General features: G+C 35.4%; 1 protein-coding gene and 1 non-coding gene across 3 annotated transcripts in view, besides 2 other annotated features; one reads left to right on the forward strand and one right to left on the reverse strand.

Annotated features, from left to right (window-relative positions):
• The window catches only part of PIK3CA (phosphatidylinositol-4,5-bisphosphate 3-kinase catalytic subunit alpha), a 91,968-nt gene that overhangs the window by 6,067 nt on the left and 59,255 nt on the right, over positions 1 to 26,646 (forward strand). The window lies entirely within an intron of this gene.
• Positions 4,634 to 4,713: a silencer, noted in NCBI's record as "silent region_14912". NCBI's record gives its function as "represses an Ori minimal core promoter by ATAC-STARR-seq in GM12878 lymphoblastoid cells {active_cell/tissue: GM12878}" and the evidence as "EXISTENCE:reporter gene assay evidence [ECO:0000049][PMID:35858748]".
• LOC124900560 (small nucleolar RNA SNORA25) lies at positions 14,891 to 15,018 on the reverse strand. The gene has a single exon (XR_007096309.1). It is a non-coding gene; the product is annotated as a small nucleolar RNA SNORA25 (small nucleolar RNA).
• Positions 20,362 to 20,441: a silencer, noted in NCBI's record as "silent region_14913". NCBI's record gives its function as "represses an Ori minimal core promoter by ATAC-STARR-seq in GM12878 lymphoblastoid cells {active_cell/tissue: GM12878}" and the evidence as "EXISTENCE:reporter gene assay evidence [ECO:0000049][PMID:35858748]".

A 26,646-nucleotide genomic window follows, 5' to 3' on the forward strand; every position in this document is an offset into this window, starting at 1 on the left:
GGTTTAGATGCCTAAAACGGGTCCTCCTGGCCAGCAGACCCAGTACCTGTCCCTGGCCTGTTAGGAACCGGGCTGCACAGCTGGAGGTGAGCAGTGGGGCCAGCATTACCACATGTGCTCTGCCTGTTGTCGGAGCAGCAGCGGCACTAGATTCTCATAGAAGGACCAACCCTATTGTGAACTGCACATGCAAGGGATCTAGGTTGCCTGCTCCTAATGAGAATCTAATGCCTGATGATCTGAGGTGGAACAGTTTCATCCCCAAACCATCGCCCCCACACTTCCCCAATCCATGGAAAAATTGTCTTCCACGAAACTGCTCCCTGGTGCCAAAAAAGTTGGGGACCACTGGCCTAAGGGACTAAATTCCCCTTCGGACTGCTACTTTGTATATGTATATGGTGGGGGACAGATTGTAACACATTTTTGTGTCTTTTTCTATATTGATACAATAGGAATTGTAATGTGTTGCTTGCTAAGTAACATAATGAGATAATTCAAATAATCACAAGTTGCATAAAACTAGGAAAAAATGTGCACATACTAATTATTATTTTAAATTTATATTTAACAGAAGCATAATATTTTATATTTGGCCTGACAATGTACTCATTTCTCAAGCATCACTTTGGTAGTTAGCTTGATAATTTAAATTGTACTCATTTATAAGAGGTTGTGTTTTAGCAACTTTTGTACATTATTGCGATTGTTACAAAGGGGTCTTTATGATGGCTAGCATTGCCATTTGAAATAAATTAGGGATTTTTAAAAATCTATAAGAATTCTTACAGACTATGCTTGTCAGGTACACTTCGGATTTTAAGTATTTGTATAGTAAAGCCAAGGAAATCAGTGTTGTGATGTGAAGAAAAAAACTGTATAGGGATAGAATCATTTTGCTCTAATCATAACTCTCCTAACTCACCAGGAGTTAGCAAGGCTTAGTGGACGAATATGTCTTATAAGTACAACAAAAATATAAGGCACTATTATGAAGAGGATTTTAGGCATATGTTTTTGAACAGGAGGAGACAATGTTGTGTTTATTGTATCCTCAGCACATACTGTAGTGTCCAAATGTAGGTGATCAGTAAGCACTGATCTTTGTGACATAGAATCATATTTAGAAATAAAAATACTTTCTTATATTTCTATCAGGAGCCATACGCTTTATCTGAAAAGCAGGTAAATTGCTGTGTGCCAGTCTTATTTGATCATTTATTGAGCACAGATTTGGCCCTTTGTATTCGTGGGTTTTGCCTCCATGGGTTCCACTTACCATGGATTGAAAATATTAGGAAAAAAAAGGATAGTTATTTCTGTACTATGCATATACAGATTTTTTTTGGTCATTATTCCCTAAACAAAACAGTAGAACAACTATTTACATAACATTTACATTGTATTAAGTATTAAAAGTAATCTAGAGATGATTTAAAATATACAGGAGTAGGTTATATGCATCTGCTACCCCATTTTATATAAGGGACTTGAACCTCTATGGATTCTGGTATCCACAGGGGTCCTAGACCCAATCTCCAATTTTCCATAGATACCAAGGGATAACTGTATATAAGAAACACTTTTGTATAAGTTATTAACTAGTTGCCTATTTCTATTGATATTTGGAGACATTTTGGCAAAGATTGTTAGGTTACAGAGAGGCTGTGTGCTGTGGTGAAAAAAAATTCGATCACGAATCAGAAAACACGGTTTTTCCATTCATCTATTAACTAGCTGTTTGGCCTAAGATCTTGGCCTTTCAGAGCTTGTTTCTTCACCTGCAAAATTTCTAATACAACTCCCAAATGCTGAGATTCCTAGTATGTTAAAGCCTGTTTTTTTATTTCAGGGAAGAGTAAGTAAATCACTCCCTAGAGAGAAGACAGTCTAGCTCAGTTTGTTGTATTTTCAGAAGCTAAGATCATTTTGTCTGCCTGTTTATAAATTTGCACATATTTTAAAGGTCCTTGTGTGAAATTCTGTGGCAGAGAAAAGCTGCCATTGGAAAAGAATGGAGTGGAAGGATTTTCCCCCCTTTTTTGAAACCGTTAGTGACTTTGGAGAATAAATTGCTACAGGTGTGGTCAAAATTTTGGTTACTGGCACTGGGAGCAATTAAATGACTGCCAGACATTGAGAGTAGGTCATCTACTGCACACCAGTTGCCAGGGTTATAAAGGCCAGCAGACTTGTCACAGCACCCTTAATAGCCACTGGCCATCATCCTTACTTGTTAAAGACTTCTAGGAAAGTATATTCCATATTTCCCTTGGTAACTCATCCCTCTAGGTGGTTTTCAGAAAATGTGTTCTAATCTTAGAAACATAAATCTGTAGGCATGGTAAGCCTCTTTTTTCTAGGTCTATCCTCAGTTGTGCAGATAAGTATGTGGAAAGATAACAGAAATCATTGTATTTGATCAGAAAGCAGTGATGTTTATGCTATTGATTTATTGTTTTTTTCTGTTAATATTCAAATTACCTTCAACTTTTGAATATTTTTTAACCAGCACACTGCTCAGGTAATGAGATATTATTTAGAGTTATTTTGAGGATGTACTCATTTTTCAACAAGCTAAGCATATTTCTGCAGCTTGTTTTTCTTTGAGAGTTCTTGCTTTTCCAAGTTCTTTTTCCTGATGGACTTATGGCAGGTCTAGACCTGAAAGTACTATTGTATTTCAAAACAACTGACTGCCTTTAGCCCCACAGTGACTGAACTGTATTTTTTTCTTAGGAGGTTAATGTCTTTGGCAAGCTAAACATCCTTGGAATTTTTTGCTAAGTCAGCCACTATTTTGTGAATATAGATTTATGGAGTATATCATCAAATTCAAAGCAGCATTAATGGGAAAATTTGCGGAAAAAATATTGAAATTAGACACTACTTACAAACTCCAATCTGAAATGAAACCATACATGACAGCAGGGAAAGGAAAGAATTACATTTTGGAACCCTAACTTTTATGCATATAAATATCAATGCATAGTAATGTCATTTTAAAGTTATATGCCTTCTGAAGCTTTTCTTAAAATCTAATGGCTACTATTATTTGCAGTTGAGACCATGATAGGCAGCATCTTATGGTATTTATGAAAGTGATATTTGTGTTCTTTTTTCTAACTATATACCAATTGTAAAAGTTGAACATGACTTTTTCAAAGCAGTTTCTATACTTGATAATAACAGTGGTAGTAAAACTCAGAACAGTTTAAAATATTAGTAATTTTACAGTGTAGAGACTTTTCTTCACTAGAAATGACCAGCTTTCAGATTTCTTAGTGATATTATGAGACTCTAGATTTCTTCAAAATCATTTTGAGTAAATCTACCAGTGTATAACTGCTAAAGCACAGTTAAATGTATCATGCTGTGGTCTTTTTTGTTTGTTTGTTTGGTATAAATATCAGACATATATGTTTGTTTACTCTAAAACTAATTTTTTTTACCAATCAAAATTGAGGCACGTAATCTGACAATGGGACAGGATATTTGCAGTCAGGATAGTCTTAGAAAAGCCACAAAATATGGTCGATGTACTTAGACTTCTTTAATTTTCCTTGCCTTTTCCTAAATATATCTCATAATGATTAAGAGCATGTTCTCTAGAGTCAGACTATCGAGATTACTAGTTTTGTAACTTTGGGAAAGTTATTTAACCTGCTAAATATTCTCCGGGTAATACGTATTTCTTCATTTGTAAATGAGGGGTAATAACTACCTACATCACAATGTTGTAATGAGGATTAAATAAATAATACTTGAAAGCATTTAGTAAAGTGTGTTGTACATAGTAAGCACTCAGTAAGTATCTGTGAACTCCTTGAGAGTAAGAACCATGTTACATTCATCCATTTATTTGGGTGCTTTAACATTATGAAGTGAATTGAATTCTGTCCCTTCCAAGAATTTACCAGTGGATCCGATTTCTGGATAGTGGGCAATAAGGTTGCCTTCAAACAAGTTTAGAGTAGTTTTCAGTTCTTTACAATACTGCTTGCTTTTTATTCGTTAAAACTTTTAAAATTTCATTCTAGCTCTAGGAATCTGAATGCTATTTCATACCTACTCCTAAGGGAAGTTAGCATATGGATATTTAGTTTAATAGGAATGAGGAATTAATGGACAGAAGGTATTAAGTAAGTGAATGTACAATTTTCACATCTAGTCTGTGCTTCCTGTGGATTGATTTTCCCTGTCCATTCCTGGAATCTTCGAATTCCCAGCACTTATCTTAATAGCACTCTACCATTGAAGCAGTTTTGTTTTGTGCTGTTAGATACTTCCTTTCCCTGTCTTGTCTTTTTTTCATGCACTAAAGACAAGAGTTGTGTCGTATTGTCACATAGTCCTTATATTACAGGGCTTTTAAAGAAATCTCACGTCCTGTTTTCAAGCTGCTTGTATCTTGTTTGTCCATTCTACTTGCTATGAAGTCTTTATTGAATATAATATTAAACTCTTTTGCATATCATTGTTTGTTACCTAGGACACTCAATGGACATGTGTAAACTTTACAAGTCATTTATGTAAAAATAAGGAAAGCAACCATGTGTTTTAATTATTTCCATCAGTTCAATCTCTAAGTCTTTGCCTTTAATTACCAAACAGCTATGTGGTGCCACTGATACGAGTTTCTGTGGTATCGGCTACCTGGTTTTAGTACTGTTGTTACTACTTTATGTAAATGAGACTATTCACTCATATTTAAGTTTGTGGAAAATGTATATATGTTCTTGCGTTTTAGCAGTTTTGGCTAGACTGCTCTTGATGGTCATGCAGGGTAACTTACTTTTCTAAAGTTGATGATTTCATGGTCTGTATTTCTCATATACCAGGATAATAGTAAAATCTACACACTTTAAAAAACTACATATGTTGTTGTTAACATATATGGAGGTTTCTTCAGAAATTATCTGCGATTTTTGTTGTAATTGTTTTCATTGTTGTGTGCTTTTAAAGAATGACTTTTATTAAGCATGCTTCCAAGCTTTTTTGTACATGAAAAACTGCATATAATTTTGTCTCTTTTAGGGGGTGATATGTACAATGAAAAAATAACATGACATTGGATTGCCCTGGGGCTGACCAAGAGTTTGTTTCCATAGTAAGGGATTATGACTAATTTAGGCATTGAAGTTAAGAATTTATTACTTATTTTTAAATGACATCACGAAGAGTTACAGCTGAAACCCATGGAAGAAGTTTTCTTGATTTTTCTATATGTACACACAAATGTGTATTTTGAATTCCCATAAACCCAAACTTTAATATAAACCTGAGGAGGGGGAGCATTATGGACTTTGTATATGCTGCCTCCCTTAATCCTCACAATAACACTTCTGATACATGTGTAATCACTTCATTTCCATGATTAGGAAAATGAAGTCCCACATCAAATTAATACAGTAGAATCTCACCTCATTTATTTTACATGAAATCAACTGTACCTACTCAGTCAAACATAAAAACGTGACAAAAATAATACAGTCATGTGTAGCTTTACAGTGGCAATATGTTGTGAGAAATGCATCATTAGATGATTTCATCATTGTGCAGACACCACAGAGTGTACCGACACAAACTTAGATGGTATAGCTTACTAAACACCTATGCTATCTGGTACAGCCTGTTACTCCTGGGCTACAAACCTGTACAGTATATTACTATACTGAATACCATAGGAAAATGTAACACAGTGGTATTTGTATATATAAATATATCTAAACATAGAAAAGGTACAGTAAAATACGGTGTAAAAAATTTTAAAAATGGTATGCATGTATAAAGCCTTACCGTAAGTGAAGCTTGCAAGACTAGAAGTTACTCTGGGTGAGTTGGTGAGTGAGTGGTGAGTGAATGTGAAGGCCCACGACATTACTACACACTACCGTAGACTTGATGAACACTGCACCCTTAGGCTACACTAGATTTTTTAAAAAGTAAAGTAATTGCGCTACAATGTTATGACAGCTATGATGTCACTAAATGATGAGAGTTTGTCAGCTCCATTAATCTTACGGGATCACTGTTGTATATGTAGTCCACAGTTGACCAGAACATTGTTATGTAGCACATAACTAATGTAAATATTGCAAATCACATCTGACTACTGAGCTTTTGCTTCAAAGTAGACACTTAAAGATAAGAATTTGCCATCCTTTCAGTTGGTCTCAGTGCCTAGGTCTAGGTATGTTACATTTTGTTGTGTTGAGTGTGATTCTGTTATTCAGACATGTAATGTTCATACAACATGGCCTCTAATACCCAGCCTGTAGTGCCCAACCAAAGAAACAGCAGTTTGATCCGGTGCTGGAAGAGAAACTGCTGTTTGGGCTTGCTGAGCAATTGTATTGGTCTCCAATGTGGCCTGCAGATATGGCAACAAGAAACTGTCATGTATTCTCTTTGATATACACACGTGTGCACCCCACATGTAAGCCTTCACCCTTCTTAATTCTATGTATATTTTATATATTGTGTATATAGTTCTATTGTTTTAGATTGCTATATGTGCATTATATCTTTGTACAACACACAATTTTGTACAGTGTGGTATACAAAAACCACATACATTATACTTTATGGATGACTTGAGATTTTTCAAGAAAAATGTCGATTCTGTACAATCATAGACTCTGTTTGTTTGCACATACTCATTTCTAGAACATGGCACCCCAGAAATACCTCTTTCAGTTACTAGCTACTTAGTACCAACTTTTCAGGCTCACAAAACAGTAGTTTGTTCAATGTTACATAGTAGGCAAATTACTATTATGGTTCTGATCTAGAATTATAAGCAAACGTGCTGTTTCATTGCATCAGACCTTCCCTTCTTCCTCGGTGTAAGAGAGATCAAGTCTTCTTGGCTCAGTAGCAATGTCTTCTGTCCAGCTAGCAAGAATGGCACAGGAGGCTCAGGGTACACTTCTCATTACAAGGCCTTAAGGGAAGTGCTGCTTCTCCACACAGAGCAGATAGGACAAAAATTGGGTGTTTGCACAAAGGGAGCAATGATTCCATAAGGAGGTGAAAGTAACACATAGATTTGTCACCTTATTTACATTTTCTATCTTCTTGTCTCTAGGCAAAGGGGGTAACAGAAACCTGCTTAGTGTTTTTATAAAGTAAATTCTGCCTAGTATCATTGAATTTCCTTTAGCACATCCATAGACATACAACAGAACAGATAGGAGAAAGAAACATAAATAACAGGAAGTGCTGGGCGTGGTGGCTCACGCCTGTAATTCCAGCACTTTGGGAGGCCGAGGCGGGCAGATCACTTGAGGTCAGGAGTTTAAGACCACCCTGGCCAACATGGCAAAACCCCGTCTCTACCAAAAATACAAAAAATTAGCTGGGCGTGGTGGCGCGTGCCTGTAATCCCAGCTATCGGGAGGCTTAGGCAGCAGAATCGCTTAAACCCAGGAGTTGGAGGTTGCGGTGAGCTGAGATCACGCCACTGCACTCCAGCCTGGGTGACAGAATGAGACTCTGTCTCAAAAAGTGATAATAATAAAGAGATAACAGAAAGTCCAGTGGTCACAGGACCAGATGTTTTGAGATGCTTGTAATTCCAAATGTTCCATTTCCATACTGTTCTAATATGACTCAAGTAATTCATCTGGGGAATGAAACAGATTTTTCAAAAGCGCCTTCAGAATTTGGGCTGAGAAAATATCACTATATGTATATTTATATTTTTTTAAAAAGCTGAGTGATTAAACATTATTTCCTGTTTATTCAATATACCCTATAATTGACAATGTGGTAGACCCTGGGTATATAATGGTAAACAACACAAACATACTCTGTGATTGTACGGTCAACGTTTTCCTTGAAAAATCTCTTTAATTACTCATAAAGTACAATGTATATAGTTTTTATATATCACCTTGTACAGAAATATACATTTTATCTCTGTATAAAACATACAGAAATCTGAAACATGATGAAGTTATATATGCAATGTATGCAATACATGTATTTAAAAGTGTGAATTTATGTGTATATATATATGTATCAAAGAGAATACACATGCACAGATGATAGTTTGTTGTGGCCATATTAAGCCATCTTTGCATTTTAAGGATAATTTCTACTTGTAGAAATTATCTACAAGTAGATAAACACATTATCTAAACACATGTTGTAGAGTCACACTCTGCCACACCCATCTAATTTTTCATATTTTTGGTAGAGACAGGGTTTCGCCATGTTGCCCAGGCTGGTCTTGAACTCCTGGGCTCGAGCAGTCTGCCTACCTCAGTCTCCCAAAGTGTTGGGATTACATGCCTAAGTTAGACTTAATATCATACCCGGCCTGGTATGATAGGATTTCATTCCTAGGAAAACCAAGAGTCAACTGAGAAATTGTTAGAATGAATAAGAATTCTAGAGTAAATAGATGTAAGGCAAATATTTAAAAATCAATAGTTCTTCCTTATGATAGCAGTAATTGTTTAGAAAACGGGAAAAAAACCCATTTAGAATAGTAACAGAAAATATAAAATTATAAATGAGCCAATGTGAAGAAACCTAAAAATCTACTTGGATGTTGGAGGTTACAGGGAAAGGAATATCATGTTTCTGAATGGGAAGTCCAGCAATTACAGATACCAGTTTTCCTCATTAAATTACAGGTTTAGCCTAATTCTCTTCTTTAAAAAAAAAAAAGTGAGAAATTAGCAAGGTAATTTTTAATTTTGTCTGAGAAACTATAAACAGATAAAAGTAAGGTATCTTTTGAGTGGAAAATGAAGGACAGAGCGCTAACCCTGTAGCTTATTAGCTATCAAAATATACAATACAATTAGAGTAAATGAAAGAGTTGAATACTGGCATACACATTGATAGTAAAATTGGTAAAAGGGAATAGAGATCCCAGAAACACTCTAAATATGATAAAGAAGTAATCAGAAATTAGGAGAAAAAGGAAAACTAAGATTTGTTTTTGAGAGTATTAAATACTTAGGAAAATAGACTTTTGAATCTTTATTTCATCTTACATACCAAAATAAAGTCTAGGTAAGTTGAAGAGTTAATTGGAAAAGAGTAAACTTATGCCTAGTGTCATTTTAAAAAGACATTTATGTGAATGGGGAAATACTTTCCAAAGCTTCAAGAATTGTAAGTACTCAAAAGGAGGAACAATCATTCGTTCGACTCTCAAATAAGATTGGGGCATGGCAATGTGCCCCCTCTAGTCCAAGCTACTCAGGAGACTGAGGCAGGAAGACTGCTTGACCCCCGGAGTTTAAATGCAGCCTGCTAGCAAGACTCCCTATCTTTAAAAAAACAAAAAAAGAAAAAAATCTCTTTCTCTCACCTCCTCTCCCCCCAACCCCCATACAAGTGAACAAATTAAAAGATGTGCAGACCAGGATTAGAGTTCTGCAAAAATTCAATAGATGTTTGTCTTTAAATTTTTACTACAAATACTTTCAAAAGCACCATGACCCATATGGATGAATGAGCAAAGAATTTGAGAAGTTGGGCTCATTTACTAAAGAGGAAATGCAGGTACAAGCATAAGGGACATGTTTTTCCCTGACAGGTAATTGAAGAAGTGAAATTTTAATATGTAGTGATTTTTTTTTTTTTACTTTTTGAGTTAGCAGAAGTATTTTTCTAATGATGTTTTTGCTGGTGAGGGTGCCATGCAATGTGCTTGTCCATTTATTTCCATTGACAGTCTGAATTGGTTTAACCCTTTCGAAAAGCACGTGAACAATTTGCATGCCTTTAAAATCAACATACAGTTTGACCCAATAATTCTCTTTGCAGCATTAGATATAATAATTTACAACAGCTTATGTATTTAACAACTAAACTGTTTAACATCTCCCGTGGAAATAGGTTGTCATAGAAAATGTTTATGAAGAGTTTACAATAATTTGCGGAAATGTTTTTGTAGTGAAAAAAGATACAAAATTATGTATACTATATGAGTACAAGTATACAAAACTATAGAAAACAAAGAAATAAACCAAAAATATCCAGACAAAACTGTAAGAGAATACATAAAAGATGCTAATATGGTGTCTTAGGTACGTTTTCTTTTGGTTTCATCATTCATCTGTGCACCGCTATATTTCCGATACTTACAGAGCACAATCCCAGGCCCATAATAGACCTTTCAGTCAGTGCTTAAGTGAATAAATTTCTGTAATAAACATGGGATTCATTTACATTGAAAGAAATATGAATACACTTTCCATCCAAGTTAAGAAAAGGAAAAATGTGGGAAGCACTCTAGAAAGGAAACTGATTAATACCTTACAATTAGATTTTGTTTTCAGAATGTTTTCACATCTCTATTTTATGCGATCCTTTTCTGTTCTAATTTAATAATATCATTACTTACCTAAGTTAGAAATTTGTGCTAACCGGCTGGGCGTGGTGCCTCATGCCTGTAATCCCAGCACTTTGGGAGGCCAAGGCGGGTGGATAACCTGAGGTCAGGAGTTCAAGACCAAGCCTGACCAACATGGCAAAACCCCGTCTCTACTAAAAAATATAAAATTAGCCAGGCATGGTGGCGCATACCTGTAATTCCAGCTACTCAGAAGGCTGAGGCAGAAGAATCACTTGAACCCAGGAGGCGGAGGTAGCAGTGAGCCAAGATTGCGCCATTGTACTCCAGCCTGGGCAACAAGAGTGAAACTCTGTCTTAAAAAAAAAAAGAAAAAGAAAAAAGAAATTTCTGCTAACCTTGATTCTATCCCTTTTGACCTGCCAAATCCAACTGATTACCAAATCTTGGGTATTCTTTCTTAGAAATGTCTCTGGATTTTAGCCCCATCTTTTCTCATAATCACTGCCTTAGTTTATTCCTTTCTCATTTCACTTTACTGTCCCTACCTGTCCTTCTACCTTTCTACTCTCCTCTTTTACTTTCCACACTGCTGTAAAAATTGTCAGGTAAATAGCAGAATTTTGTGTGTGTGCTATTATAAATAGGCTGTATGGAAGAGACTGGGGGGAGATTAACACTGCTTTCACACTGCTATTACAATAATCACCCTAAAATACAAAATTGATCTGCTTAAAGCTTAGTAATTCCTTATGACCTATATTGATGCTTCTCAAACTTGGGTTGTATAAGATCACCCAGGAGACTTGATAATGTGCAAATTATCCAGACCCTAGAAATTCTGGTTGAGTGGATCCATAGTACTGGGAACCTGAATTTTATTTTTATTTTAATTTTTTGAAACAAGAGTCTCACTGTGACACCCAGGCTGGAGTGCAGTGGCTGATCATAACTCACTGCAGCCTTGAACTCCTGGGCTTAAGTAGTCCTCCCACCTCCACCTCCCAAAGCCTTAAGATTGCAGGCATGAGCCACTGTGTTGAGCCTGGAACCTGAATTTTAATAAGGCTTCCCTCTCATGATCCTTACGCATATGATCCCAGGACAAGATGTTGAAGAACAGACCTTGGGATAACATGCAGTCTCATTAATTTACTGTAATTCTCACAATTTGGCATCAGCCTTCTTTTCTGTGCTCATTTTCTACATTTTTTTCTCATGGACACCTTACAGTCTAGTCACTCTGAACTGCTACATGCTCACCTAGGTTATTGTGGACCCCTGTTCTTGTGCTCATGCTGTTCTGTGGTTCACAGCCTTTTTTGCTATGGCTTCTCCTACTCAGTAACATGTTGATCTTGGTACACTATCTTCAGCTTATATGTAATCTGAGTAAAGTATTCCCAGACTCACTCTCCTAGACAAAGTCTATCTCTCCCTCTTCTGTATTTCCATAGCCTCTATTACAACACACATATACTAAATTACACTTCTTTTCATACCTTCCTCACTAGACCATGAACCTCTTGAAGTCAGGGATGCCATATTTTAGATCTTTTATTTAATCTTAGAGTAAAAGCCTGGCACAAAATAATTGCATGCTAAATATTTGTCAAATCATTAACAATCCAATAAAGAAGGCAAGGAGTAATTAGTCCCATTTTCAGTGAGGAAAATGATATCTTGAGAAATTAAGTATTTGCTTTTAATTACCCAGCTTGTAAGCGTAGGCTCAAGACTTACACATAAGAAATCTGGCTTCTTTTCTGGTTTTGGTCTTTACAGAAAAGATAGAGAATAACTGTAAAATTACCCCTTCCATTTTTACCCACACGGCTCACATGTTCATTTAAATTACCCCCTCCATTTTCTACCCATAAAGCTCACATATTAGTTTATGTTTTATCATTTTATGGGTAAAGGTGTTTTAATAAACTTTTACATCATATTCACACTTTATAAAAATAAAATAATGCCTATTCCTCTAGGGTATGAACAGATTGCTGGATATTAAGCCATTTGTCTCTCACTTTCACATCTAACCTTCTTTACTCTGCTTTGTAATGCTTATTTATTTCTCTTGCAGAAAGCATGTTATAGTGCCTTATGGGATGTCTACAAATATTTGTTTAATCAAATTGAGCTAATATTTATGTAGGAAACATTTTATTCTGCAACAATTAAGGCAAACAGATATATGTGTGTAAGTATTCACATGGGTTTCCACTGTAGTTTTGAAAGCTCAGTTTCCAAAGTTTAGATGTGTTTAGCCTTACTGTAGACTTCACTCTTAAGGTGTTGATGGAAATCAACAACCAGCTGCAAAATTCAGATCCAGTATGCCATAGGATACATGTAGCCACGGTTTAAACCAAATGTTAGCAATGAAATATTTAGTAGCAACTGTTCTTTTAAAAGAAACATTTTAGATAATTAGAGTCGTCTTGTAATATCTTATACCCAGCTGTCAGCTTTTTACTTTTTCTGCCAATATTTCTGGAACTGAAACCAAGAAAATGGAAATTAGGGCACCACACTTTGAAATGTATTAAACACTTGAAAAACTGTTATATCTTATAGGATTTCCAAAAAGAGTTCTTCAGTGCCTCAGAAGATTTTTATAAAAAGCAATTATCTACAATAACCCTCCCCAGTATTAAGCTGAAATATACACATACCTTAGTAAATAATAGGAGCATTTGGGAAGTGGAAGAATTGCCTCTTAATAGCTACTGGACTTGAAGATTATTAAATTTGAGCATTCTAATTCCATTTTTGAAAGTTTCTGATATTGTTTCTTAATTTTGTTACCATGTTTAATCAGTATCTCACTAGCCTTTCATTCATTTCTTTAGCTTCTGTTACTATCTTTCTACTTTTAAGATACTCATATCTTCATTTTCTGCCACATCAACTTTCAGTAATATTCCTGATTCCTCACTATGTTAGACAGTGATAATAGTGTCTCATTCTTCCTTTCAAGTCTTTCCCACCCTTCTACAAAATGTTATATATAATTACTTTTTAAATTGTCAAGTATTGATAACATTTGCATTCTGTTCTATAACCATATTTAAATCCTCTTTCTTTTTAACTATAGATAGATTGTAATAGTTGAACCTAGTACTATTTACATTAATATTATATAAAAATGTTTCACTTTACAACCAAGTAGAGTGCTACAGTTGGATTTCTTTCTCTGAATCTGTGTCCAGCATCATGAACTACGCAATGAATATTCTTTGCATTCAGATCATATGGTTTATCTTTTCATATATTCCACATACTGCTCAAAATTGTGCTCTTTTGCTTCATTTTTAGCATGATGTTATACATTTTTTGTTTTCCCCTAAAGTTTCCAATTACTTTTCTTTTTTCTATTGTGAAAACCATAAAAACGGTATTCAGCGTGCCATTAGTGCTGCTGGACTCCTCAGTTCTTCATCTGTTGCTTCAAACCTGTTGTATTGTTTTTCCTGAATACTTTTTACTCTGGAATTCAGATTTCATCTTCAAGTTTGGGCATATTACTTTCTGTAATTAAAGTTTATCTCAGGACTGCTTTTTCTTAATGATTTGTTTACGTTATTTGACCACTGGTTCAGTTCCACCATTTCTAGCATGTGGTCTCTTCCTCTTTCTTGACCTCCACCTTTGGTTGGCTAGAGTAATTAATCAATTAAGTGCCTTAGAATTGGTTCAGGGGAAGTAAAACTTTGGAAAACTAATTGTCTGAAAAGACTTTTATTTTTTCTTTACACATGATAGTTTGCTGAGTATAGAATTCCTGGTCAAATTGTTTTCCAGCATTTTAATTACTGCATTGTTTTTTACTTGTTATTGATGAGAATAGCATTGCCAGTCAGATAATTTTTCTTTTGCAGATTACTTGTTTTTCCATCTCTGAAAGCTTTTAAGCTTTTATCTCTATCTTTTATTGTCTAGTATAGTTCTTTACATTTATTCTGCCCACTGGTCCCTTTTAATCTAAACATGTAAGTCTCTCCAGCTCCCAGATGTTTTTCTTTTATATCTTTAATTTCCTTTCTTCCATTTTTCTCTTACCTCAGAACTTGTGCAATAAGGAAGTATTCAGTTGTTGAACCTCTTTGATTTATTGTATATCTTTTTCACCCTTGTTTCATTATGTCTGTCTTTTTGCTCTATGTTCTAGCAATTTTTTAAATTTTGCAAATATAGGTGAAATGTTATATCCTTATGATTTTATTTTTATATTGTGTTTGTTATTCTATTAAGATTCATTTCAATATAAGGTATAAATTGGAAACCCACTCTTTTTTCCCAAATGTCTAGCCGTTTCCAGGTGGTCTCTTCCCTATTGATTTGAAATGATACCTTTATCATGTAACACATTCTGTGTCTATTTTTTTAATTTCTGGGTTTTTTTTCCTTTTGTCTGGCTCTTTATGAGCCGTATCTTACCATTGTGATTATTGTAGTTTCATAATTTTTTTTTCTAGAGAAGAGAAGGTTTGGTTAAACTTTTGAGATGTTTATTTATTTTCCCACGTCAACAATCATGGACTATCATGTTATGTTTATGAGTGGCTGAGTCATATCTCCTGAGGAAAACATAGCACCATTGAGTGCTACAGCATCCTATAGAGAACTTCAGTTTTTGGTCATACTGTTAAGACCTCTTGGTTTCACAGCCCCACAAGCCCTCTTTGAAGTGACCTATCCAGTAGGGCTAGACCTTTCTCTCCCCCTGCCTTCTCCCCTCCCCTAATTTTTCTGGTCTCCTGCAATTTTTTTTTAAACATTAGAATCAGCATGCTTAATTCTACACACAAACACAAAAATCCTATTGGCATTTTATTGGGATTACATCATATGTGTAGATTATCTAAGGAAGAATTGACATTTTGGGAATTGGTTGTCTTCCTATCCGAGAATGTGGAATGTTTTTCCATGTCTTCAATCTTTTGTGTTACTTGGGAGCATTTTAAAGTTTTCTTCGTTTATTTTAAAGCAGTTAAAATTCATTTTTTTTCAGTTCACGTGACTAATCAATTCTACCAGGACCGTCTATTAAATAATCTGTCCTAATTAAGGTTCTGGGGTTTTTCCCTATACAAAATTGCAGCAACTATTGTACTTAAGTTTGTTTCTGAACTCAGTTCTGTTCTCTGGATCTGCATGGGCCAATACTATTCTATTTTTATAACTAAGGATTTAATACCTACTTAGGCTAGCCCCTTCTCATTACTCTTCTTTCAAACATTCAGTATATTAAAAGCTGTTATAATACTTCTTACTCTGTTTTAGAGGTGGACATAGACATTACACACATACAAAAAAACTGCAAGCCAATCTCACTTAAAGTATTAGTTATCTTAAATAAAATATTAGCAGATTCAGTAGTTTGTTAAAACACACACACATACCATAGCCAAATGGCATTTATTCTGGAAATACAAAGGTCATTTTAATCTTAGGAAATCTGTAACAGACATTAATTCTCTCTCTTTCCCTGCCTCCCTTCCTCCCTCCCTCTTCCTTTCTCCAGCACAGACATGCACATGCGCGTGCACACGCGCGCGCGCACACACACACACACACACACACGACCTTAGTAAAATAGGGATAGAAAGCTATTCTTTGACGTACTAAGTAATAGATATACCAAACTAGAAGCTTCAGTCAGGCTTAATAATGAAAGACTCGCATTGTCATTCATATTACGAATAATTCAAGAAACAATCAATAGCTATTTTTTTGCCTTGCTTTTGTAAGGGAAAAAAGTAATATAAAGGAGAAGACATATTCGCAAATTTTAATTTCCTGTATCAGTTTCTCCTGACCACTCACTCACATTCTCCCCAAAGTGAAGCCAATGTTGGTAACGGAGTGAATTCTAGTGGGGGACATTGGAGGGGATATAGAAATACGTTTGTTCATATATGCTTTTTAACACAGATTTTTAATTGTATTAGTATAAAAGTGTGATAAACATGCTTTCATTTTAAATATCTTCTGAACCTATAAATTATATTCCCCTTTTAAATTTTTGTTTAATTTTTATCATCAAAATAAATGTATCTTCCAGTAAGGACAGTGTGAGGAGGTTGGATGATTTCCTTCTTCAGAAAACAGGCATCAAAATACTGGAGTAACTGTGTTAATGTCAGCCAAAATAGATTGTAAGAAAAGGAGTATTATTAGAGATAAAGAGGAACATTTCAAAATTATGAAGTGACAAATATGGCAGGAAAATATAAAAATTCTAAATGTATATGCACTTAAGAGAGGCACAAAATGCATGAAACAAAGATTGATAGAACTGAGAGATGAAATAGGCAATTCAATATTTAGAAGAGTTGGAGATTTTAATACTCTTCTCTCAACAGTTGATAGGATAAGTAAACAGAAAACAGGATACAGAAGACAGGAATAAAGCAATCAGCCAACTCAATCTAATTGACATCTGCAGAATACCCAACAACAGTAGAAAACACATTATTCTAAAGTGCATTGGTAACATTAGCCAGGGTGAATAGTATACTGGCCCACAAAAATGAAATGTTTTAATAAATATGGAAGAATTGAAATTATATGGTATGTTTTGCAACTACAAAGGAATTAAAAATCATGGAGAGAAATAAGGAAGAAATAAGTAAAATCCCCAAATATGTGCAAATGAATACTATTTCTGAGTAACCCATGGGTGAAAAAAGAATTCACTGGGCAAAATAGAAAATATTTTTAACTGAGTGAAAATGAACACAAAATGTAAGAAAATATTTGGTATGTAGCTCTCAGGCAGTGCTAAGAAAGAAATGTTTGGCTTTAAATGCTTATGCCAGAAAGGAAGAAAGGTTAAAAAGTCAATTATCTAAGCTACTACCTTAAGAAGCTAGAAAAGAAAGAGTAAAGTGTACCAAAGTAAGTAGAAGAAAGGGAGTAATAAAGATCAGAACAGAAATCAAGGAAATCAAAAGCTGGTTCTTTAAAGAGTTCAGTAAATCTTTAGCTAAAATGAACAAGAAGGGATGTAAATTAGAAATACTGAGAATGAAAGAATGGGTATTACTACAGATACTATAAATACTAAAAAGATAAAGGAATATTATGAACAAGTTTACAACAACCAATTTGGCAACTTAGATGAAATGAACAAATTCTTTGAAAGATACTAATTACCAAAACTGACTCCAAAAGAAGTAGAAAATCTAAATAGACCTATATAGAGTAAATAAATTGAATTAGTAGTTTAAAACTTCCAATAAAGAAAATCTGGGCTTTAATGGCATAGCTAGTAATTCTGTCAGACACCAAAGGAAGAAAAAAATACAAGTCCCAACCACATTTTCAGAAAAGCAGGAGGGAGGAGAGCATCACAATTCATTTTATGAGGACAGTATTACTAGATACCAAAGCCAACACAAAGGCATCCCAAGAAAAGAAAACTAGCAGCCAGTATTCCTCATAAATGTAGACACAAAAATCCTTAGCAAAATATTAGCATGTTTAATTAGCAATATTATATTTAAAAGGATAATACTATAATCATGGTCAAGTAGGATTTATCCCAGCAATGCAAGGCTCACTTAACTTAGAAATATCAATTCTGTGTAATATACCATACTAATAAGATATATTTGAAAAAAAAGTGATCATCTCAATAGATGCAGAAAAGTATTTGACAAAATTCAATACAAATTATAATAAAAACTCTTAGCAAGCTAGGAATTGAAGGCAACTTCCTCAACCTGATAAAGAATGTCTGTGAAAAAAAAAATCATACTTCATGGTGAATGATTTTATAGTTTTCCACTTAAGATGAAGAACAAGGCAAGGATGTTTGCTCTTACTGCTTTTATTCAGCATTATCCTGGAGGTCCTAGCTAATGCAGTAAGGCAAGAAAAAGAAATTTAAAGGATATTTGGAATGGAAAGGAAGAAGTAAAACCAAATAGATGGCATTTATACAGAAAGTTCTAAAGAATCTACCAAAAAGAAAAAAAAAAAATACTAGAACTAACAAGTGACTTAGGCAAGGCTGTAGAGTAAAAGATAACAAACAGGAATTAATTATATTTCTAAACACTAGCAATGAACCATCCAAAAATGAAATTAAAAAACCATTTACAGTAGTATTGCATAGCTAAATACTTAGTAATAAGAATAGATACACAAACCTGTACACTGAACACTACAAAATATTGTTGATGGAAGTTAAAGAAGAACTAAGTTAATTGAGAGGTACACTATATTCATGAATTGGTACACTATGTTCAGTGCAGTCCCAGTCAAAATCTTGTCAGATTTTCTCATAGAAATTGACAGGCTGGTTTTAAAATTTATATGGAAGTGCAAAAAACATAACCACACATAAAAACTATAAAATCTGAACACTTACAAGTACCTGATTTGTACTTGCTATAAAGCTACAATAATCAAAATAGTACAGTATTAGCATAAGGATAGACATATAGATGGATGAAAGAGATTTGAAAATCTAGAAAGAGTAATTCTTAATATAGTAATATTTTTCAATTAATTTCTTATTTTGGACAATTGGTATATCCTATAGATCTTTTTCCCGTGATTTAATGAAATGTAACATTTATAATAATTTTCTTTTTATTGAACATTTTTGCTTTGTATATTATATGTTACCTTATTTGTTAATAAAAACACATAAATAAACTTGGTTAGGTATTATTTATGTGGTAACTGATTTTCAACAAAGGTGCCAAGGTAATTCAATGGGAAAAGAATAGTCTTTTCAAAAAAAAGAAAGGCCGGGCGCGGTAGCTCACGCCTGTAATCCCAGCACTTTGGGAGGCTGAGGCGGGTTGATCACGAGGTCAGGAGATCGAGACCATCCTGGCTAACACACAGTGAAACCCCGTCTCTGCTAAAAATACAAAAAAAAAAAAAAAAAAAAAAAACTTAGCCAGGTGTGGTGGCGGGCGCCTGTAGTCCCAGCTACTCGGGAGGCTGAGGCAGGGGAATGGCAGGAATCCGGGAGGCGGAGCTTGCAGTGAGCCTATATCGTGCCACTGCACTCCAGCCTGGGTGACAGAGGGAGACTCCATCTCAAAAAAAAAAGTGCTAGAATAACAAAAAATTTATTAAAAATGGATTGATGGTTCATAGACCTAAACTTCAGTTCTTACCCCAGTAATTACCTACGTGGTGTATTGACAACAAAGGAAGAAAACTTGTAGAGGTGGGTTTTGGCAGTGTTTTTTTGTTTTTGTTTAGAGGTGGAGTTTCACTCTTGTTGCCCAGGCTAGAGTGCAATGGCACAATCTCGGCACACTGCAACCTCCGCCTCCCTGGTTCAAGTGATTCTTCTGCCTCAGCCTCCCAAGTAGCTGGGATTACAGGCCCCTGCCACCACACCTGGCTAATTTTTTGTATTTTTAGTAGAGACAGGGTTTCGCTATATTGGCCAGGCTGGTCTCAAACTCCTGACCTCAGGTGATCCACCCGCCTCGGCCTCCCGAAGTGCTGGGATTACAGGCGTGACCCATTGCGCCCGGCCCGGAAGTGTTTTAAAACTTGGTTGTAGTGGTGGTTTTTACAACTATACATTCACCAAGACTCATCAAACTGAATTTTAATTTATACCTCAGGTAAAGCTAAAATAAAGTAATACATGCATATTATTTTCAAATTACAACTGAAAGGTTAATAAAAACATCAGGCCGAGCATGGTGGCTCATGCCTGTAATCCCAGCACTTTGGGAGGCTGAGGTGGGCGGGTCATGAGGTCAGGAGTTCGAGACCAGCCTGGCCAACACAGCGAAACCCTGTCTCTACTAAAAATACAAAAAAATTAGCTGGGCATGGTGGCAAGCACCTGTAATCCCAGCTCTCGGGAGGCTAAGGCAGGAGAATAGCTTGAACCTGGGAGGCGGAGGTTGCAGTGAGCCGAGATTGTGCCACTGCACTCTCTAGCCTGAGCAGCAGAGCTAGACTCCATCTCAGAAACAAACAAAACATCAGTTCATTACTGTATCTCACTTCCCCCCCATTCCCTCTCACAACTTTGTCTTGTCTCATGTCATGCTTCAGGAAACCACTTTCAACTATTTAAGCTACTACTTCTGGTATTTGCCACCTTATAATAATGGGGTATATTGCTCTGTCTTGGTCCACCAATATTTGACATTATTCATTAGTTTTCTCTTATAATTTTAATGCTCATATCTTCCTTTGCCTTATCTCATCATCCTATATTTAATCATTACTGGTTAAATCCACATTTAGTTATTTCATTATTCAATGACCATATAGTAATAAAGCAAATGCTACATGGGGTTATATTTTTTCTGTTACAACTTTCTTGTTGTTTTTTAATTAATTGCTTCATCTCAGAAATCTGCTTAGTTACCATTGTGTCTGAATTTGTCTTTCCATGGGCTTCAATCCATCTTTGCAATAACTCTCACATGTGATAATTAGTTTGGTTATTTTCCTATAATATCCTTCATAGAGCCTTCAGTATTTCTGATTTAATCTTGATTGCTTGCTAGGTCTGTTTCACAGCTGTTATCTCAAGACTCTTTTTTGTCTTCATCCTGGAAATTCCCTACACCTGCTTCCTGTGTTGAAGCATTGATTCCTCCTATGCCCCATACCTTCATGGTTGACTACCTCATTCTATAGGAGCTTATCCTCTCGTGGCATCTTGAAGAGAGATAACTGGGAGGTAATTTTTTTGAGATTTTACATACCTGAATATGTGTTATTCTACTCCTACAATTATGTGATATTTTAAGTGAGTGTAGAATGCTAGATTGAAAATCATTTTTACCCAGATATTGCTCTGGTATCTTCCAGCTTTCAATTTTGCTAGAGTTCTAAGTGCCACTCTGTTTCCTGATTTTTTATTTATTCTTTTTTCTCTCTGTCTGGAAGTGATTAATCTCTTCTCTTCATTTTATGGTATGGTACCTTGGTGTGCATCGTTTATCTGTTGTGCTGTGTACTCCGTAAGTCCCTGCTGCTTGCAGACTTACATTCTTCTCGGAAGTATCCTTGCCTTTTTTGGTAGTTCCCTCTCCTTTGTTTTCATTATTCTCTCTGGAACTCCTACTAGCCAGATACTACACTTCCTAGATTGTTTTTCTAAATTTTTACCATTCCCTCCTCTTACTCATCCCTTTCTTTTTATTCTGCCTTCTGGAAAATTGCCTTAACTTTAACTTCAAACATTTGTTGATTTTTTTTTTTTTTCAGTTCTTATTCTCTGGTCTTATTGGTTCCTCTGCATAAGGATGCAGTCTTTTATCTTTACAGTTTCTTTGACATTTTCCTCTGTCCCATCATTCTCTGTTTCTCACCACTTCTGTTTCATTTTGGTCTCAATCTTTAATATTGGAGACATTCCTCAAATGCATGAAGATCCTCAGTGGTCATTTATATTTAAAAGATGTGAAAAGCTGACCGAAAGCTCTGGGTGTGAAGTCAGAGCTCTTGTCTATTGGTAAACTATGCTGTAGGAAATCTTCATATCACAATTTTTCTTTAGGTTAGTTTTGTTTTCTCTAGTTTTGAATCCTTTCCAGAGGAAATCTATAGTCTTCTCTGTGGGGGCTGCTTATGTTTTAGAGAAATACTGAAGAAAGGGACTTTGGGTCTCTTTAGAGTTGCACATAATCTTCTGGTTTTAGTCATATCTACTTCTGTATCTATTGAAGTCCAAAGCATCTTGAGTTTAGTTTTTCCAGAAATTATGCCTTCTGATTTCTGCATGATTGGGAAGTCACTGAGTACACCAACTGGAGTTGGAGACCTGGAATTCCAGTAGTTCCAGGAACCTCCTAGTCCTGAACTTAATGGGGTTTCATGAGAATTGACTGGCTTCTTTAGGCACTTAAATTTAACATTCCTCACCTCTGGTGAGGTTTTTGTTTGTTGTTTGTTTTTTCTCCCTGTCTTTGTATATTATGGTTTAGGGTTACAGTTTTCCAGCTTCATCAAAAAAAGAGTTTTTCTCATTCTCCTTGTTTAGAAATGATTGGTGACACAAAGGTCTGTACTCTGATATTTTAAGATCCGAAGTGTATTCTACCCCTTTTTTATAAACTATTTTGCAGCTGTTCCTTCACGACTTTGCTACATCTTGGAGATCTTTTCATGTCAGTACCTACAAGTCTATATCATTGATATTATCAGCTATATAGTACTCCATAAAATGCTTTATTATAATTTATGTAATCATCTTCCTATTGATGAAGATTTTGGTGGTTTCTAGTTTTTGCTTTCATGAATATTGTTGCAATGAATATTGTTTGGCTTACTTTTGGGTGAATTTTTACAAAGACATCCATATAATAAGTTCCCAGTAGTGGGGTTGCCTAATCTAAGAATAAGTGTATTTAAAATTTGAATCATATTGTCAGACTGTCTCCCAGAAAGTTTACATTCCTACCAACAATCTGAGAGAGCTGTCTTTGCAGTTACTAGGTTTCATCAAACTTGTTTTTTTCAGTATGGTAGGTTTAAAAATGGGGATACATTTTTGTTTTTATTTGCATTTTTAAATATTTTCTTAGGTTAGTTGGCTACTTAAATTTCTTTTTCTGAAAACTTTGTATTTATAGCCTTTTAAAATTCTTATTGACTTGCCTGAACTATTTGTAAATTACAGAAATTAGCCCTTTGTCGTATGTGTTGCAGGTGCTTTTCCAGTTTGCCAGTGGTCATTCATTTTGGTTTATGGTACTTTTGATAGACCAGAATCTTTGACTTTTATTTAGTGAGATTTATCCATCTTTTTCTGTGTGGCATCTTGGTATTATAGCATTAATATTCTCTTTTCTTTTTTTTTTTTTTTTTTGAGATGGAGTCTCACTCTGTCGCCCAGGCTGGCGTGCAGTGGCCTGGTCTCCACTCACTGCAACCTCCGCCTCCTCGTTTCAAGTGATTCTCCTGCCTCAGCCTCCTGAGTAGCTGGGATTACAGGCATCTGCCACCACACCCAGCTAATTTTTGAATTTTTAGTAGAGATGGGGTTTCATCATGTTGGTCAGGCTGGTCTCAAACTCCTGATCTCAGGTGATCCGCCCGCCTTGGCCTCCCAAAGTGCTGGAATTACAGGCATGAGCCACCACGCCCAGGCTATAGTTTTTCTTTATCTGAACAATAACTAATTATAAAGTATAGTGGAAGAGAAAAACCCATTCAGAAAATTAACAAAAAGATCACTTATCTAGAAATAAACTTAAACCATAGCAGAGCTTACATGAAGAAATCTTTTAAAACTGAGCAAGGATTTGTTGGACAGGACACAGCACTAATCTCAAAAGAAAATTTGATGAATAGGTCTTATTCATAGTTTTTGCTCATCAAAAGACAGCATTAAGAAAATGAATAGACAAGCCACAGAATGAGTTAAAAAAACAGAAATTCCCAGCATTTACAAGGGATTAAAGATGTGTATCAGAATATATAAAGAACCTCTGAAGGCCAGGTGTGGTGGTTTACACCTTTAATCCCAGTGCTCTGGGAGGCCAAGGTGGGAGGATCATTTAAAGCTAGGAGTTCAAGACCAGCCTGGTAACATAGTGAAACAAGATTCTGTCTTTACAAAAAAAAAAAAAAAAAAGTGTTTGGGTTTTTTTTTGTGTTTTTTTTTTTTTGAAGTTAGCTAGGCATGGAGGCATGTGCCTATAGTCCCAGCTATTCAGGAGCTTGAGGCTGTAGTAAGCTATGATCATGCCACTGCACTCCAGCCTGGGTGACCAAGTGCGACCTTGTCTCTAAAGATCAAAAAAAAAAAAAAAAAAACTCAGAAATTAACATTTAAAAAATTATGAACTACTTAATATAAAAATGGGCAAAAGACTCGAGCAGACATTTCACAGAAGATATACAAATGGCCAATAAGCACATGAAAAGATTTCCACCATCATTATTAGTCATCAGTAAATGCAAATTAAAACCATGATAAGATACCACTACAAATTCAAACCATCATGAGATACCCACTAGAATAGCTGAAATAAAAGTGACTGATACTACTGAATAGTTATGATATAGACCAACTGGAATTCTAACTTATTGCTGGTGGGAATATAAGAACTATTTCTTATAAAGTTAAACATAACATTTACCTAATGTGTCAGGAGGTTCCCAGAATCATCCCTAGGTTCCATGGTTCGCTAGGACAACTCACAGGACTCAGCATGATGTCGTACTCATGGCTCTATCACTTACTACAATGAAAAGACACAAAGCACAGTCAGCAAAGGGAAAAGGTGAATGGGGCAAAATCCAGGGGAGACCAGGTACAAGCTTCCAACAATCCTCTTCCGTAGAGTCTCACAAGACACACTTAATTCCCCCAGCAAAGAGCTGTGACAATACTTGTGAAATCTAACCAGCCAGGGAAGTTCGCTACAGATTCAGTGCCCAGGGCTTTTACCGGGGTCTGATCATACCCTCTGCTCAGCGCACACCCAAATTCCAGACTCCCAAAGGAAAGCAGGTATTAAGCATAAACCATATTGTTATCATAAATGCTTTAGACACATGGAGCCAGTCTTATCAGATGGGAATCAGGGTAGGAATCCTCCTAAAATCCAAGATCCAAGTTCCCAGACACCAAGCCAGCCTTGCAAACAGGCTTTTTTAAGGATAAGCATAAGAATATTAACTCTTTTCTGCAAGTTTACAACCTAGCATTTTGCTAAGTATAACAAAAATTGATGTAGGAATTTTGATAGCCGATGCTGGAAACAGCCCACATATTCAACAACTGGAAATTGTATAAACAAGCTGTAGTATATTTTGGAATACTACTTAAAAAGAACTAACCACTAATACATTAAAACATTGATGAATCCCAACCTGTTGCACTCTTCTCATTCTGTACCTGACAGTATGTTAACCAAAAGAAGCCAAATACAAGAGTATACACTGTGATTCAATTTATGTAAAGTTAAGACTCAGCAAAACTAATCTATAATTACAGAAACCAAAATGTGATTGCCTGGGGGCAGAGAGAGAAATTAATTGGAAAAGAGCATGACAGAATGTTCTAGGATAATAGAAATGTATATTATATATCTTGTTTTGTGCAGTGGTTACGTGGGTGTAAGAAGTTGTCAAAAGTCATCAAACTTAATGCTTAAGATGTGCAGAGTTCGTTGTATGTTAACTATAGTTCAATTTGAAAAATTAACTACTGAGAAACATTGAAATCCAATGACATTCCTATCCAAATACATATTTGGATAGGAAAAACATCTTGTAAAGATGTCAGTTCTCCCTGTTCTCAAAATAACAAGAAGTTTTGCCTTGATTTTTGTTTTTGAATTTAGCAAAATATTCAAAAGTTCATCTGGAATTATCAGCCAAGTTTAATAAGACTGTGAAGGGACTTTACAGAAGCTACTTGGGCTGAATTTAAAGGATGAGTATGATTAAAATGGCAATAAATGTGAATATGAGGTAAAAGATTATGGAGCATATTTACAAAGGCAAAAAACTGTAAAGGGAAAAGATTGATCTAGTAAGATTAGAGCTTGGAGTGTGGGAAAAATAAGAGAAGAGCACAGTTGTAATGTTTGAGGCTTGAGTCAAGGCTGTATTGCATAGTTACTAGAGATCCACAATATTGTCTTAATTGAGTAATGGTGTAATTAGATATATGTTTTTAGATAGCCAATTCTAGTGACACTGTAGATAATGAAGTGGGTGGGGAGAAATTGGATACTTTGTGCTTTCAGGGCCTCTTGTCTTAGTTCATACTGTCTACTTAACCTGTTGCACTCTTCTCATTCTGTACCTGTCAGAAATCAGGCCCACTTTCTCCTAAAATTACCACGTTCTGCCTTGTAGATTGTTAGATAATAAGGTCTTTTCAACCTCATTTATATACTTCATTTATATACTTGTATGAGTGTTTTTCTCCTCCTTTCCTTTCCATCACCCATCCCTTTGCTTCAGCTGCTAGTGTCTTAATAGAAGGTAATTGCTTAATGAATGCTTGTTGAATTAGAGACAGATCAGTCCTGCATATGAGAACTCTTTTAGGGTCTAATAGTGATAGAGAAGATTGAAAAAAAAAGGTGATGAATTTGAGGGTAATTTAAGGGGTGGAAGTGATGTCATGCAAGAGAGGAGTTGAAAGCACCAAATGTTTTAACCTTGGAGATTGAGAAAGTGGTGATGTCATGAAGAATGTATTCCACATTTGAATAATGAGCAGAGTAAGAGGTACCAACAAATGAAACAATTAAAGGAGGCCATAAAAACAACAGAGATCATTTCAACATTCTATTGAGGAAATTTGGGGGGACACACTTTAATTAAATAATAACATCAGTATTTCTTTACCTTTG

This window comes from Homo sapiens, chromosome 3 (genome assembly GCF_000001405.40).
Source record: "Homo sapiens chromosome 3, GRCh38.p14 Primary Assembly".
NCBI classification, from domain to species: domain Eukaryota; kingdom Metazoa; phylum Chordata; class Mammalia; order Primates; family Hominidae; genus Homo; species Homo sapiens.